We start from the raw sequence: 14,175 nt of genomic DNA on the forward strand, positions 1-14,175 counted from the left end.
GGAAAAAACAGAGCAGAAAAACTGGAAACTCTAAAAATCAGAGCGCCTCTCCTCCTCCAAAGGAACGCAGCTCCTCACCAGCAACAGAACAAAGCTGGACAGAGAATGACTTTGACAAGTCGAGAGAAGAAGGCTCCAGACGATCAAACTACTCCCAGCTAAAGGAGGAAGTTTGAACCCATGGCAAAGAAGTTAAAAACCTTGAAAAAAAATTAGACGAATGGCTAACAAGAATAACCAACGCACAGAAGTCCTTAAAGGACCTGATGGAGCTGAAAACCATGGCACGAGAACTGCATGATAAATGCACAAGACTCAGTAGCCGATTCGATCAACTGGAAGAAAGGGTATCAGTGATGGAAGATCAAATGAATGAAATGAAGCAAGAAGAGAAGTTTATGGAAAAAAGAATAAAAAGAAATGAACCAAGCCTCCAAGAAATATGGGACTATGTGAAAAGACCAAATCTACGTCTGATTGGTGTACCTGAAAGTGACAGGGAGAATGGAACCAAGTTGGAAAACACTCTGCAGGATATTATCCAGGAAAACTTCCCCAATCTAGCAAGGCAGGCCAACATTCAAATTCAGGAAATACAGAGAATGCCACAAACATACTCCTCAAGAACAGCAACTCCAACACACATAATCGTCAGATTCACCAAAGTTGAAATGAAGGAAAAAATGTTAAGGGCGGCCAAAGAGAAAGGTCGAGTTACCCACAAAGGGAAGCCCATTAGACTAACAGCTGATCTCTCAGCAGAAACTGTACAAGCCAGAAGAAAGTGGGGGCCAATATTCAACATTCTTAAAGAAAAGAATTTTCAACCCAGAATTTCATATCCAGTCAAACTAAGCTTCATAAGTGAAGGAGAAATAAAATCCTTTACAGACAAGCAAATGCTGAGAGATTTTGTCACCACCAGGCCTGCCCTAAAAGAGCTCCTGAAGGAAGCGCTAAACATGGAAAGGAATAACTGGTACCAGCCACTGCAAAAACATGCCAAATTGTAAAGCCCGTCGACGCTAGGAAGAAACTGCATCAACTAACGAGCAAAATAACCAGCTAACATCATAATGACAGGATCAAATTCACACATAACAATATTAACCTTAAATGTAAATGGGCTAAATGCTCCAATTAAAAGACACAGACTGGCAAATTGGATAAAGACTCAAGATCCATCAGTGTGCTGTATTCAGGAAACCCATCTCACATGCAGAGACACACATAGGCTCAAAATAAAGAGATGGAGGAAGATCTACCAAGCAAATGGAAAACAAAAAAAGGCAAGGGTTGCAATCCTAGTATCTGATAAAACAGACTTTAAACCAACAAAGATCAAAAGAGACAAAGAAGGCCATTACATAATGGTAAAGGGATCAATTCAACAAGAAGAGCTAACTATCCTAAATGTATATGCACCCAATTACAGGAGCACCCGGATTCATAGAGCAAGTCCTTAGAGACCTACAAAGAGACTTAGACTTCCACACAATAATAATGGGAGACTTTAACACCCCACTGTCAACATTAGACAGATCAATGAGACAGAAAGTTAACAAGGATATCCAGGAATTGAACTCAGCTCTGCACAAAGCGGACCTAATAGATATCTACACAACTCTCCACCCCAAATCAACAGAATATACATTCTTTTCAGCACCACACCACACCTATTCCAAAATTGACCATATAGTTGGAAGTAAAACACTCCTCAGCAAATGTGAAAGAACAGAAATTATAACAAACTATCTCTCAGATCACAGTGCAAACCAGAACTCAGCATTAAGAAACTCACTCAAAACCACTCAACTACATGGAAACTGAACAACCTGCTCCTGAATGACTACTGGGTACATAATCAAAGCAGAAATAAAGATGCTCTTTGAAACCAAAGAGAACAAAGACACAACATACCAGAATCTCTGGGACACATTCAAAGCAGTGTGTAGTGGGGAATTTATAGCACTAAATGCCCACAAGAGAAAGCAGGAAAGATCTAAAATTGACACCCTAACATCACAATTAAAAGAACTAGAGAAGCAAGAGCAAACACATTCAAAAGCTAGCAGAAGGCAAGAAATAACTAAGATCAGAGCAGAACTGAAGGAAATAGAGACACAAAAAACCCTTCAAAAAATCAATGAATCCAGGAGCTGGTTTTTTGAAAAGATCAACAAAATTGATAGACCGCTAGCAAGACTAATAAAGAAGAAAAGAGAGAAGAATCAAATAGACACAATAAAAAATGATAAAGGGGATATCACCACCGATCCACAGAAATACAAACTACCATCAAAGAATACTATAAACACCTCTACGCAAATAAACTAGAACATCTAGAAGAAATGGATAAATTCCTCGACACATACATCCTCCCAAGACTAAACCAGGAAGAAGTTGAATCTCTGAATAGACCAATAACAGGCTCTGAAATTGAGGCAATCATTAATAGCCTACCAACCAAAAAAAGTCCAGGACCAGATGGATTCACAGCCGAATTCTACCAGAGGTACAAGGAGGAACTGGTACCATTCCTTCTGAAACTATTCCAATCAATAGAAAAAGAGGGAATCCTCCCTAATTCATTTTCTGAGGCCAGAATCACCCTGATACCAAAGCCTGGCAGAGACACAACAAAAAAACAGAATTTTAGACCAATATCCCTGATGAACATCGATGCAAAAATCCTCAATAAAATACTGGCAAACTGAATCCAGCAGCACATCATAAAGCTTATCCACCATGATCAAGTGGGCTTCATCCCTGGGATGCAAGGCTGGTTCAACATATGCAAATCAATAAACATAATCCAGCATATAAACAGAACCAACGACAAAAACCACATGATTATCTCAATAGATGCAGAAAAGGCCTTTGACAAAATTCAACAACCGTTCATGCTAAAAACTCTCAATAAGTTAGGTATTGATTGGATGTATCTCAAAATAATAAGAGCTATCTATGACAAACCCACAGCCAATATCACACTGAATGGGCAAAAACTGGAAGCATTCCCTTTGAAAACTGGCACAAGACACGGATGCGCTCTCTCACCACTCCTATTCAACATAGTGTTGGAAGTTCTGGCCAGGGCAATCAGGCAACAGAAGGAAATAAAGGGTATTCAATTAGGAAAAGAGGAAGTTAAATTGTCCCTGTTTGCAGATGACATGATTGTATATCTAGAAAACCACATCGTCTCAGCCCAAAATCTCCTTAAGCTGATAAGCAACTTCAGCAAAGTCTCAGGATACAAAATCAATGTGCAAAAATCATAAGCATTCTTATACACCAATAACAGACAAACAGAGAGCCAAATCATGAGTGAACTCCCATTCACAATTGCTTCAAAGAGAATAAAATACCTAGGAATCCAACTTACAAGGGACGTGAAGGACCTCTTCAAGGAGAACTACAAACCACTGCTCAATGAAATAAAAGAGGATACAAACAAATGGAAGAACATTCCAAGCTCATGGGTAGGAAGAATCAATATTGTGAAAACGGCCATACTGCCCAAGGTAATTTACAGATTCAATGCCATCCCCATCAAGCTACCAATGACTTTCTTCACAGAATTGGAAAAAACTACTTTGAAGTTCACATGGAACCAAAAAAGAGCCCACATTGCTAAGTCGATCCTAAGCCAAAAGAACAAAGCTGGAGGCATCACGCTACCTGACTTCAAACTATACTACAAACTATACTACAGTAACCAAAACAGCATGGTACTGGTACCAAAACAGAGATATAGACCAATGGAACAGAACAGAGCCCTCAGAAATAATGCCGCATACCTACAACTATCTGATCTTTGACAAACCTGACAAAAACAAGCAAATGGGAAAGGATTCCCTATTTAACAAATGTTGCTGGGAAAACTGGCTAGCCATATGTAGAAAGCTGAAACTGGATCCCTTCCTTACACCTTATACAAAAATTAATTCAAAATGGATTAAAGACTTAAATGTTAGACCTAAAACCATAAAAACCCTAGAAGAAAACCTAGGCAATACCATTCAGGACATAGGCATGGGCAAGGACTTCATGTCTAAAACACGAAAAGCAATGGCAACAAAAGACAAAATTGACAAATGGGATCTAATTAAACTAAAGAGCTTCTGCACAGCAAAAGAAACTACCATCAGAGTGAACAGGCAACCTACAGAATGGGAGAAAATTTTTGCAATCTACTCATCTGACAAAGGGCTAATATCTAGAATCTACAATGAACTCAAACAAATTTACAAGAAAAAAACAAACAACCCCATCAAAAAGTGGGCAAAGGATATGAAAAGACACTTCTCAAAAGAAGACATTTATGCAGCCAAAAGACACATGAAAAAATGCTCATCATCACTGGCCATCAGAGAACTGCAAATCAAAACCACAATGAGATACCATCTCACACCAGTAAGAATGGCGATCACTAAAAAGTCAGGAAACAACAGGTGCTGGAGAGGATGTGGAGAAATAGGAACACTTTTACACTGTTGGTGGGACTGTAAACTAGTTCAACCATTGTGGAAGTCAGTGTGGTGATTCCTCAGGGATCTAGAACTAGAAATACCATTTGACCCAGCCATCCCATTACTGGGTATATACCCAAAGGATTATAAAACATGCTGCTATAAAGACACATGCACATGTATGTTTATTGCAGCACTATTCACAATAGCAAAAACTTGGAACCAACCCAAATGTCCATCAGTGATAGACTGGATTAAGAAAATGTGGCACATATACACCACGGAGTACTATGCAGCCATAAAAAAGGATGAGTTCATGTCCTCTGTAGGGACATGGATGAAGCTGGAAACCATCATTCTCAGCAAACTATCGCAAGGACAAAAAACCAAACACCGCATGTTCTCACTCATAGGTGGGAACTGAACAATGAGAACACATGGACACAGGAAGGGGAACATCACACACTGGGGCCTGTTGTGGGGTGGGGGGAGGGGGGAGGGATAGCATTAGGAGATATACCTAATGTTAAATGATGAGTTAATGGGTGCAGCACACCAACATGGCACATGTATACACATGTAACAAACCTACACGTTGTGCACATGTACCCTAAAACTTAAAGTATAATAAAAATAAAAATAAAAATAAATAAAAAAATAAAAATAAAAAGCCCTAATATCTTAAAAATATGTTTTTTAGAAGTGGTCTAATTTATTATACAATTAGTTTATAATACATATTACTATTAAATTATACTTTTAAAATTTAATATAAAATTCTTTAATATAAACAATTTATACAGCTGTATGTAATGGAGATAATAAGGCTAGACTGAATCGCCAGTATGATCAGATCAACTTACTTTTGCTATAAGCTGAAGATCTTTCCTTCCGACTTAGCTTAAGATAAAGTTTGGTTTTTGGTTCATTATAAAACTCAGGATTTACAGTAGTAAACTTCTTTAGTTTGCCATACTGTTTTCTCTGAAAATCAAATCCTTTTCTGAAAAGGGAATAAAAAATAAAAATGAATTGTAATATTAAGATGCAAGTTTTTTGAAAATCTTTAAAATACAGTATGAAAAGAACCAGGGTTTCATATGTTTACCTAGTTTCATACATGTATACAAAATATAAATATACTGTATCAAAGTAAGAAAATAACAACTGTCACAGAACTGTCATCAGTTTTAGAAGAGACTGAGATAGAAAAGTATCTAAAAGATAGAACACCTCGTGTGCTTTTTAAAATTTTTAAATTTAATTTTGTTTATTGGTATATAATAGTTACACATATTTTGGGAGTACATGTGATATCCTGATACCTTTACACATTGTGTAATGATCAGATCAAATCAGGGAAACTGGGATATTCATCACTTCAAACACTGATCTTTTCTTTGTGTTGGGAACATTACAATTCTTCTCTTCTAGTTATTCTGATATATACAATAAATTATTGTTAACTATAATTTCCCTACTGTATTCCTTTTTTTTTTTTTTTTAACACTTTAACCAACCTCTCTTCATTTCCCACCCCCTTTTCTTCCCAGCCTCTGGTAACCATCATTCTATTCTCTTACTTCCATGAGATCTGCTTTTTTAGCTCCACACATGAGTAAGAACATGCAATATTTGTCTTTCTATATCTGGCTTTTTCCTTTTTTTTTGAGACAGAGTCTGGCTTTGTTGCCCAGGCTGGAAGTGCAGTGGCATGACCTTGGCTCACTGCAACCTCCACCTCCTTGGGCTCAAGCCATCCTCCCGTCTCAGCCTCCCAAGTAGCTGGGACTACAGGTGCAGGCCACCACACCTGGCTAATTTTTGTAGAGACGAGGTTTCATGAGACGACGTTTCATCATGTTGCCCAGGCTGGTCTGGTACTCCTGTGTTCAAGTGATTCACCCACCTTAGCCTCCCAAAGTTCTGGGATTACAGGCGTGAGATCATGCCTGGCCTTTGGTTTATTTCACTTAACATAATGACCTCCAGTTGCTGCAAATGACAAGATTTCATTCTTTTTTATGGCTGAGTAAGATCCCATTGTGTGTGTGTGTTTACATACCACATTTTCTTTATCCATTCATCCATTGATGGACACTTAGGTTGATTCCATATCTTGGCTATTGTGAATACTGCTGAAATAAACATGAAAGTGCAGGTATCTCTTTGATATACTTATTTCCTTTCTTTTGGATACATACCCAAGAATGGGATTGCTGGATCATATGATAGTTCTATTTTTATTTTTTTGCGGAACCTCATTTTCTAAACTATAAAACGGGAATAACTTATTCCGATATCTCCATCTTACGGGCTATTATAATAATTGCATAAAATAATTCATGCGAAGTGCCTAGTTAGAAGAGGGCCTGGCATATATCAGCTCCGAATAAAAATCTTACTACTAAATCACCATGCAAATAGTCATTATATTTATTTTGAATAATCTAAACTTTTATAAGACATACTTCCAAAAAGTAGCATTCTATTACCCTATAAGCTATGTAGTTCAGACATGCAAATGATCACTTATTTATTATGCCACACTGCTAAAAATTATTCCTATAGTTTGTCGGATAGGGTTTCCCTTAGGATTGTGGAAAATAGCCCCGACTATATACAAAATAAGTTAGAAAAATAGCACCCTGCTAGTTATCCTGATATTGCTGACATTGTTTGATGTTTAGAGGGAGCCGAAATAACTTTAAAGACTTATTCCCTGGCCGAGCATGATAGCTCACACCTCTAATTCCAGCACTTTGGGAGGGTGAGATGGGAGGATCATTTGAGTCCAGGAGTTTGAAACTAGCCTGGGCAACATAGCAAGACCCCAACTCTACAAAAATTTCAAATTAGCTGGGCATGGTGGCATGTGCCTGAAGTCCTAGCTACTCAGGAGGCTGAGGTGGGTGGAGAGCTTCAGCCCAGGAGTTGAAGGTTGCAGTGAGCTAAGGATCACACCACTGCACTCCAGCCTGGGCAACAGAGCAAGAGCTTGTAACTATATAATTAAAAAAAAAAAGACTTATTCCCATTTTGCAGGTTTAGAAACTGAGGTATTCCATCTTTTAAATAGTTTTCCTATCTTAATCTCTTTTAAAACTGATGATAGTTCTGTGAAGGCTGTTGTTCTCTTATATAATCACAGGCAATTATTTGGTACTATAAAACATACCTCACCAAAAGCTGGCATTCCTCATAAAGTGGTATCTTTTGACTTCTTAAATATAAGCCAATACTCTTAATATCACTTAAAACCATGCCAGGTCGAGCTCCTTCCTGTGTTGAATATCCTGGAGTCACGTCCTCAAGCCATTTAAAGAATTTACATCGATCAGCTTTGGGTCCATCACATGTATAAAAGAGACGACCCTAAGGGGAAAGAAAAAAGATCAACATTTAGTGAAAAAAATGCTTTTATTTTTCGATTATTTTTGTGTTTGTCAAGGCTTCTATGAAGACTGCTTGGCATTACTGTACTCCAGTAAATTAGTCACTATATGACTTAACTTTATCATTAATTTAAAATTTAAAACCACCTACTTTTCCATTTACTTTCTCTTTATCAAAAGATTACATTATTCTGAGAATAAAAGCTTATTTGAAAATTTGTTTTTCTGATTTAAAATGTTCACTATAAACAACCTGAAAACTGTCCAGAAACACTGAATATCTTATCCATTTATTTCTATCCTTTTTTCTCATTCGCGTAAGTACACACACACCACAACCCAAAAAGAACAAACACATGTAAATTTTTTTTACACAAAACTCAGATGATACATTTTCTACTCTGTAACCTAGCCCTTGTACCCAACAACATAGTACGAGCATGCAACTATGTCATCAAATAATCTTAAAAAGAAAACAAAGATTTTTAGTGGCTATATTTTAGTCCACAGTTATATCACTACTCATGAATTTTTGCTTTTGACACCTAAATTTAAATCCAAATTTACACACTTAGCTAACAATGAAGTGGGATATGCAAATGGTGGAAGCAAACTGTATTATGAATGAAAGCACAGTTCTACAATGAGTATAAGTCATCAATCAACATACATTTTACTAACCTGACTTCCTCCATAATATATTATTAACAATGTAAATTAAGCCAGCATACTTTTCTATTCCTCTGGCCTTATCTGTTACTTGTACTGGGGATTACATGGTAGACTAGTTTCAACCTTCATTTCTTTCAGGCTCATTTCTGAATTCTCTAAGCTCTCAGGTTGGAACATATCCCCCTTCTCAGTGATCTCACTGTAACTTGAGCATATTCCTCCTATTTTATCAATTACAGAAGTATGTAAAATTTTCAGCTGGGCACAGTGGCTTATGCCTGTAATCCTAGCACTTTGGGAGGCCAAGGCGGGAGGATGGCTTGAGCCCGGAAGTTCAAGGCTGCAGTGAGCTATGATCATGCTACTGCACTCCATCCTGGGCAACAGTGAGACCCTGTGTCTAAAAAAATAGTAATAATAAAAATAAATAAAAATACTATACAAAAAGTTCCTAAGCAACTTGAAGGTTAATCTTAACTCATATTTTTGTATCCTAGAGCACAAATCATTCTTTCAATAAAACTTTGAGAATTTAATGTATGTTAGGTACCAACACCTCAAATAGAAAGCTCTTAATCAAGACTCACTCTTTAAGCTTATCATGAAGTAATAGGTATCTAAACCCTTTATAAGACAAGTATTTGGTATGGTAGGGGGAGGGGAAGCAAGAATACCTTATTTGGACCTTCCTTTTTAACCATGACAAGTTTTGCAGGTTGACTATGATGGCAGGATGGTACATTATTTTCTGCGTTTTTCAGTTTCTCTCCCTTCAATGATGTATAAAATGATATGTCAACTTTTGAAAGAGCTTTCTGCAGGTTTTGTGCTAACCCAAACAGCAATATATTTAGATGTTCTACAAAAAAAAAAAAAAGAGAGCAGAAAATTAAATACAAAATAATTTTGTTTGTATCACATATGTGCTGTTTGTAGCTAAATTTGAATAGCCTTTAAACAGAGTCATATAATAGGAATATCCGTTTTTAAAAGTTATTTTCTGCTAAATTTAACAGGTCATTTGTAACACTTCTAGTTAAAAAAAAAAAAAAAAGGAAGAAAAACTCTTAACTTTCAAAAGATAATACTGGCCAAGTGTGGTGGCTCATGCCTGTAATCAACGCACTTTGGGAGGCCAAGGCGAGTAGATTGCTTGAGCCCCCTAGGGGTTGAAGACCAGCCTGAGCCATATGGTGAGACCTCATTTCTGCTAAAAATACAAAAATTAGCTGGGTGTGGTGGTGTGCACCTGTGGTTCCAGCTACTTGGGAGGCTGAAGTGGGAGGATCACTTGAACCTGGAAGGCAAGGTTACAGTAAGCCAAGACTGCTCCACTGCACTCCAGCCTGGGCAACATAGTGAGATCCTGTCTCAAAAAAAAAAAAGAAGATTGTAATTTCCCACTTTTAAAACTCAGTTTTGATCTGAAATTAGAATAAAAGTTACTGTCAAAAACTAGAACATATGAAAAATAAGGTATTTAGTATGAAAATTCACAATATAATGTATTAAATTCTCACAATTTTACTACTTACATGAAGCAGCAATCATGATACAATAAAAACACAACAGCCATACCTATGAGGCAAGATGTGAAAGTCTGCTTATAATGAGCAGGAGACTGAAAAACAGCTGGTATGTGAATTTGCCTTTGGGGAAGATAAGCAGATTTTATTTTCTGCCCACTTGGAAAGCACAGCTCAGAGCCACTTATCTCCTGCAATGGAATAATTCAAGTTATCATAGCAACTCCAGAAAAATACTGTTTACTAAAGAGTAAATTATTTTTCATAGACATTTTTTAAAAATATTAATTTTTCTTTTGATTTCTAGGATCCTTGAAAATTACTTTCAAATTTTAAATGAGAAACCAAATATAGCAAGAATAGCTACGAATGGCAATTTTAACCCTATATAAGAGTAACTTTTCTTATCTGCCCCTTAGTAAGTTTTTATATATTTTTTGCTAGGAAAAAGTTAACTGATGTGAATGGATCATTACGTATCTTTATTTCTGGTTATGACTATAATAAGGATTATTCACAATTAACGTGAAATAAGATGCACCTTTACCCTAATGACTTAATCAGCAAACACAATTGACAGTCAAAAGTAAAAACAATAATTGTAATGGTAGTAGTGATGGAAACAAAAGTAGGAGCTATCACTTATTAAGTACTGATAATTTACCAGACACTGCACCAGATACTTTCAAATAAATCATTTCATTCAATGTTCACTACTATTACGAGAGATTTTAAGTAAAGGATGATGTAACTGTAGCTCAGAGTTAGGATCAAAAAAAGCCATCTGTCCAAATTGCTCCTATGCAGTATATTTTGGTAATTCTTTTGTTGAAATTCAGACAATAACTATTGGAAAAATGCACCACAAGACCGGTACATTTCCTCACCTGTAAATCCTTTACACTGTAGTTGTAGCAGGTAGACCCTCCTAATACATTTTTAATTTCCTCTGTCTTAGAAGTCTGCTTTAAATTCAGAGAAAGTACTTTCTTTCTGGAAACCGAATCTTGACTGCTAAAATCCTGCCGCTGTTGATAGAGCATGCCTTTTATCATTTGCAAATGCACAGAGTCTAAAGAGCTTTCATTGACAGCATCACTCTGTCTTTCACTTGTGTCTCTAAAATGCATCCCAGAAACAGCCTCAGCAAAGAAGCCATCAGTTATTCTCTTATCAACTCTGTTTGGAGTAGCCACGTTGCATTGGGATGTGTTTTGATATTTCAGCCACTTGCTCTGAGTAGATATATTATTAAGTGAAACATCCCCTGGATTCACTTCCCTAGATTCTTCAGAGAAAAAGGTTTCATTTTGGTCCTCAGGCTCAATGCTAAACGAAAGAACTGCTGACTTTTCACACAAATTGAGCATGGGGGAGCCAGAAGACTCGTATGTGTTAGAGTTGATCATATACGAATGAGAGTCTAAGTCAGGTGGCCCATCAGTACGTGGCAAAGTAATAAGTGGAACCTGGGTTCTACTTAATAATGAAAGCCTTTGAAGGTTCTCATTCTCCAGAGAACGGGATTTTTTCATCCCTGAAAGAAAACAGAATGCTGATTAAATAAAAATGTTCTACTAGTTATCACCTAGGCTCTAGAAAACAGTGGGTATACAAAAGCAAAATGTAGCAACTTGCTCTGAAAAAAAAAATCACATTATTTTATTTCCTTAAAAAAAAATTAATGGTTTTAACCTCAAAAAATAAAGATTTCAAAGCTTAATTCATATATACTGAAACATTCTTAGGGTTGATGAAGTCCCTCTTTTTCTTCTCCTCCTTTTTTTTTCCTAATTACTAAATTATGTTTATATAGCACTTAACATTTTCAAAGCACTTTAAAGCTAACAACAACAACAAAAATGCATCATTCTCATTTTACAAATGAGATTACAAAGGCTTAGCAGTAGCATAACTACTAAGTGGCAGAGTCAGGATAAGAACCTAGACTAGTTTTTTATATCTACTTTACATTCTTTCCCAGAGACGGAAGCTCATGGTTCATTTATATGACTATGTGATTGTAACTTCCTTTATATATTTTTACACTCATGAATTATCATGTTACCCTTCAGAGTAAAAAAAGATTTTAGCTTTATTTTGATCTAATGGTGTTTGATAAGAGTATAATTCTGGTAAACTCATGGCAAATTCTGTCTGAAAGAGTTTAATGATTCCTTCTGTGTGTCAGCAGCTTTAGTGATATATTCCTAAAAATCTAAGAAGCAGTAACTATTTGTTGAATATATAAACAAATGAATAATACTGCATCAGAATTATGCAAGCTTATAGTTTTTATCTGACAATACTATGGATTCCTATTTTATAATAATGTGCCTTCCTGACAGAGTTTCTATCTTGTTGGAAATATACTCTGGAGATCATCTGGAAAGTAGCAGAGCAGTAGGTGAGCCAATGAATATTCTTTTATAAAGTGCTATGCTGTAATTCTAACAAGTCGATCAAGTAACACTGACAGAAAAGTTAAAAGTCCATTAAAGTAAAAGATTCATGGTATAACTGTGAAAATCATCTACTGTTCACTACCATATCACTTTTTCTTGAATACCCACTCCGGTGTATTTGATTCTTCTCTACCTTGTTGCCTTCTACCAACCACACCCATAAAACCTTTTCTAACCCAACTACCAATTCACATTACAGAATTTTTTGTTATCATCCATCCAAAATCAAAAAACTATCTACAACTCACCCCTCACCCAACATAAATTCAGAATCAGGGGAAGATATATTGATGAGATTATAAGAAAAGAGAAAAAAAGAAATTTTAGTGAAAGGGATCCTAGAGAATAGTATTATATTCATCAAGAAGCAGAAGCTGACTCATAGTGAAGGGCCAAAATATATGAAAACCTAGAGTCCTAGGAATGCAAGGGTGGTAGCAGCAGTTGAAGAGTTCAGGATCCCAAAGCAAAAAGAGACACTAAAAGGTTATGCTAAGGTCAACCAATGGTGTTGATGAGACACTTGCAATGAGTCATTCCTCTGGAACAGGAAAGGGCTGTAAAGGGGTCAGATGCTGGAGTTACAGCTGTGAGAAGAACTGACAATGGTAGAAGATACTTTCAGGGGTCTGTGTTGACAAAGTTGGGAGGAGAAACAAGAAGGAACTAGATAGCTAGAAGGGAATATTGTACCTGGAATAGCTATCTATGATAGAAAAAGTTCAAAGGAAGAAAGGTTATGGAAAGGCTTCAAGGGATATGACACTGAATCTGGTTCTAAGATATATTTAGTGTAATAATCTCTCAAATAAAAAACTTCATCTTAAATGAATAGACAGATATTAGAGCAATGTGGTAACGACTACCCTCCAAGTTGAGAAAATGAAGATCATCAGGTAAAGTTCTTGCTTTCAGGGACGTCTCAGAGAATTCTACCATGAAGTCTTCATCTCTTGAGTTCAAAGAAAAGGTAGAAACAGGGCTCAATGTAGAGATGTTTTCTTCTGGTGATGTCACCTATACAGAAAGAAGAATCAAAACTACAGACCAAAATCTTCTGATTTTTTTCTTTAGTTTGAATGAATTCTAGTAATCTATATTATAAAAATAATGATTTAAAGCACATTATGTAGAGCTATGGTGGGGGCAACAACTATAAAACTTCTTCCAAAAAGGACAGAATAAACTTACTAAAATCAACAAGAATAACAGTAAAATACAGAGCATAAAATCTTTCAGATTTACTTGAAGTGGGTCAGATTTTGATTTGGACTGGTCTGGGTTATTAGGCTTTGGTCCTGAAGATCAACTGCCATTCTAAGGGGCTCAGGCCAAATTAGACCTCATGTTTACAGCTGTGAAGGTCTAAATCCCTGCAAACTCAAGGACTGAACAGTTTTCTCTTATGTCCTCAAGTCCATAGTTGATCTAAACTTCAAGACATTGCTCCCAAATGAAGTGAACTTGTTAAATACATGCCAGCTATACAGTTCATATGTTATTCTTGTTAGAACAGCATTTAATTTTGCTGCTGCTTCTTCCAGAAATTAATCATCTTAAAATCTAATATGATGATCAAATATATACACAATATATATATTTGTATAAGCACAGAATAAAAGAATAAAATTTGGAAGAATAC

At 36.3% G+C, this 14,175-nt stretch overlaps 1 protein-coding gene across 28 annotated transcripts in view; it reads right to left on the minus strand.

The window, feature by feature from the left end:
• ZGRF1 (zinc finger GRF-type containing 1) overlaps positions 1–14,175 on the minus strand; it is a 97,571-nt gene that overhangs the window by 36,986 nt on the left and 46,410 nt on the right. For 25 of the 28 annotated variants that reach the window (XR_938764.2, XM_047415917.1, XM_047415914.1 and 22 more), the window contains 6 exons: positions 13,400–13,550; positions 10,956–11,605; positions 10,121–10,259; positions 9,217–9,401; positions 7,654–7,850; positions 5,339–5,478 (listed from right to left, as the gene is read on the minus strand). Coding sequence is in view for 27 of the 28 variants with exons in the window: in XM_047415917.1 (XP_047271873.1) it covers positions 5,339–5,478; positions 7,654–7,850; positions 9,217–9,401; positions 10,121–10,259; positions 10,956–11,605; positions 13,400–13,550 (1,462 nt within the window). In the remaining variant the exon portion in view is untranslated. Of the gene's footprint in view, positions 1–5,338; positions 5,479–7,653; positions 7,851–9,216; positions 9,402–10,120; positions 10,260–10,955; positions 11,606–13,305; positions 13,551–14,175 lie in introns of those variants that run through there. The other 3 variants (XM_011532098.3, XM_011532099.3, XM_047415923.1) reach the window with 2 other exon arrangements.

This window comes from Homo sapiens, chromosome 4 (assembly GCF_000001405.40).
Source record: "Homo sapiens chromosome 4, GRCh38.p14 Primary Assembly".
NCBI lineage: Eukaryota > Metazoa > Chordata > Mammalia > Primates > Hominidae > Homo > Homo sapiens.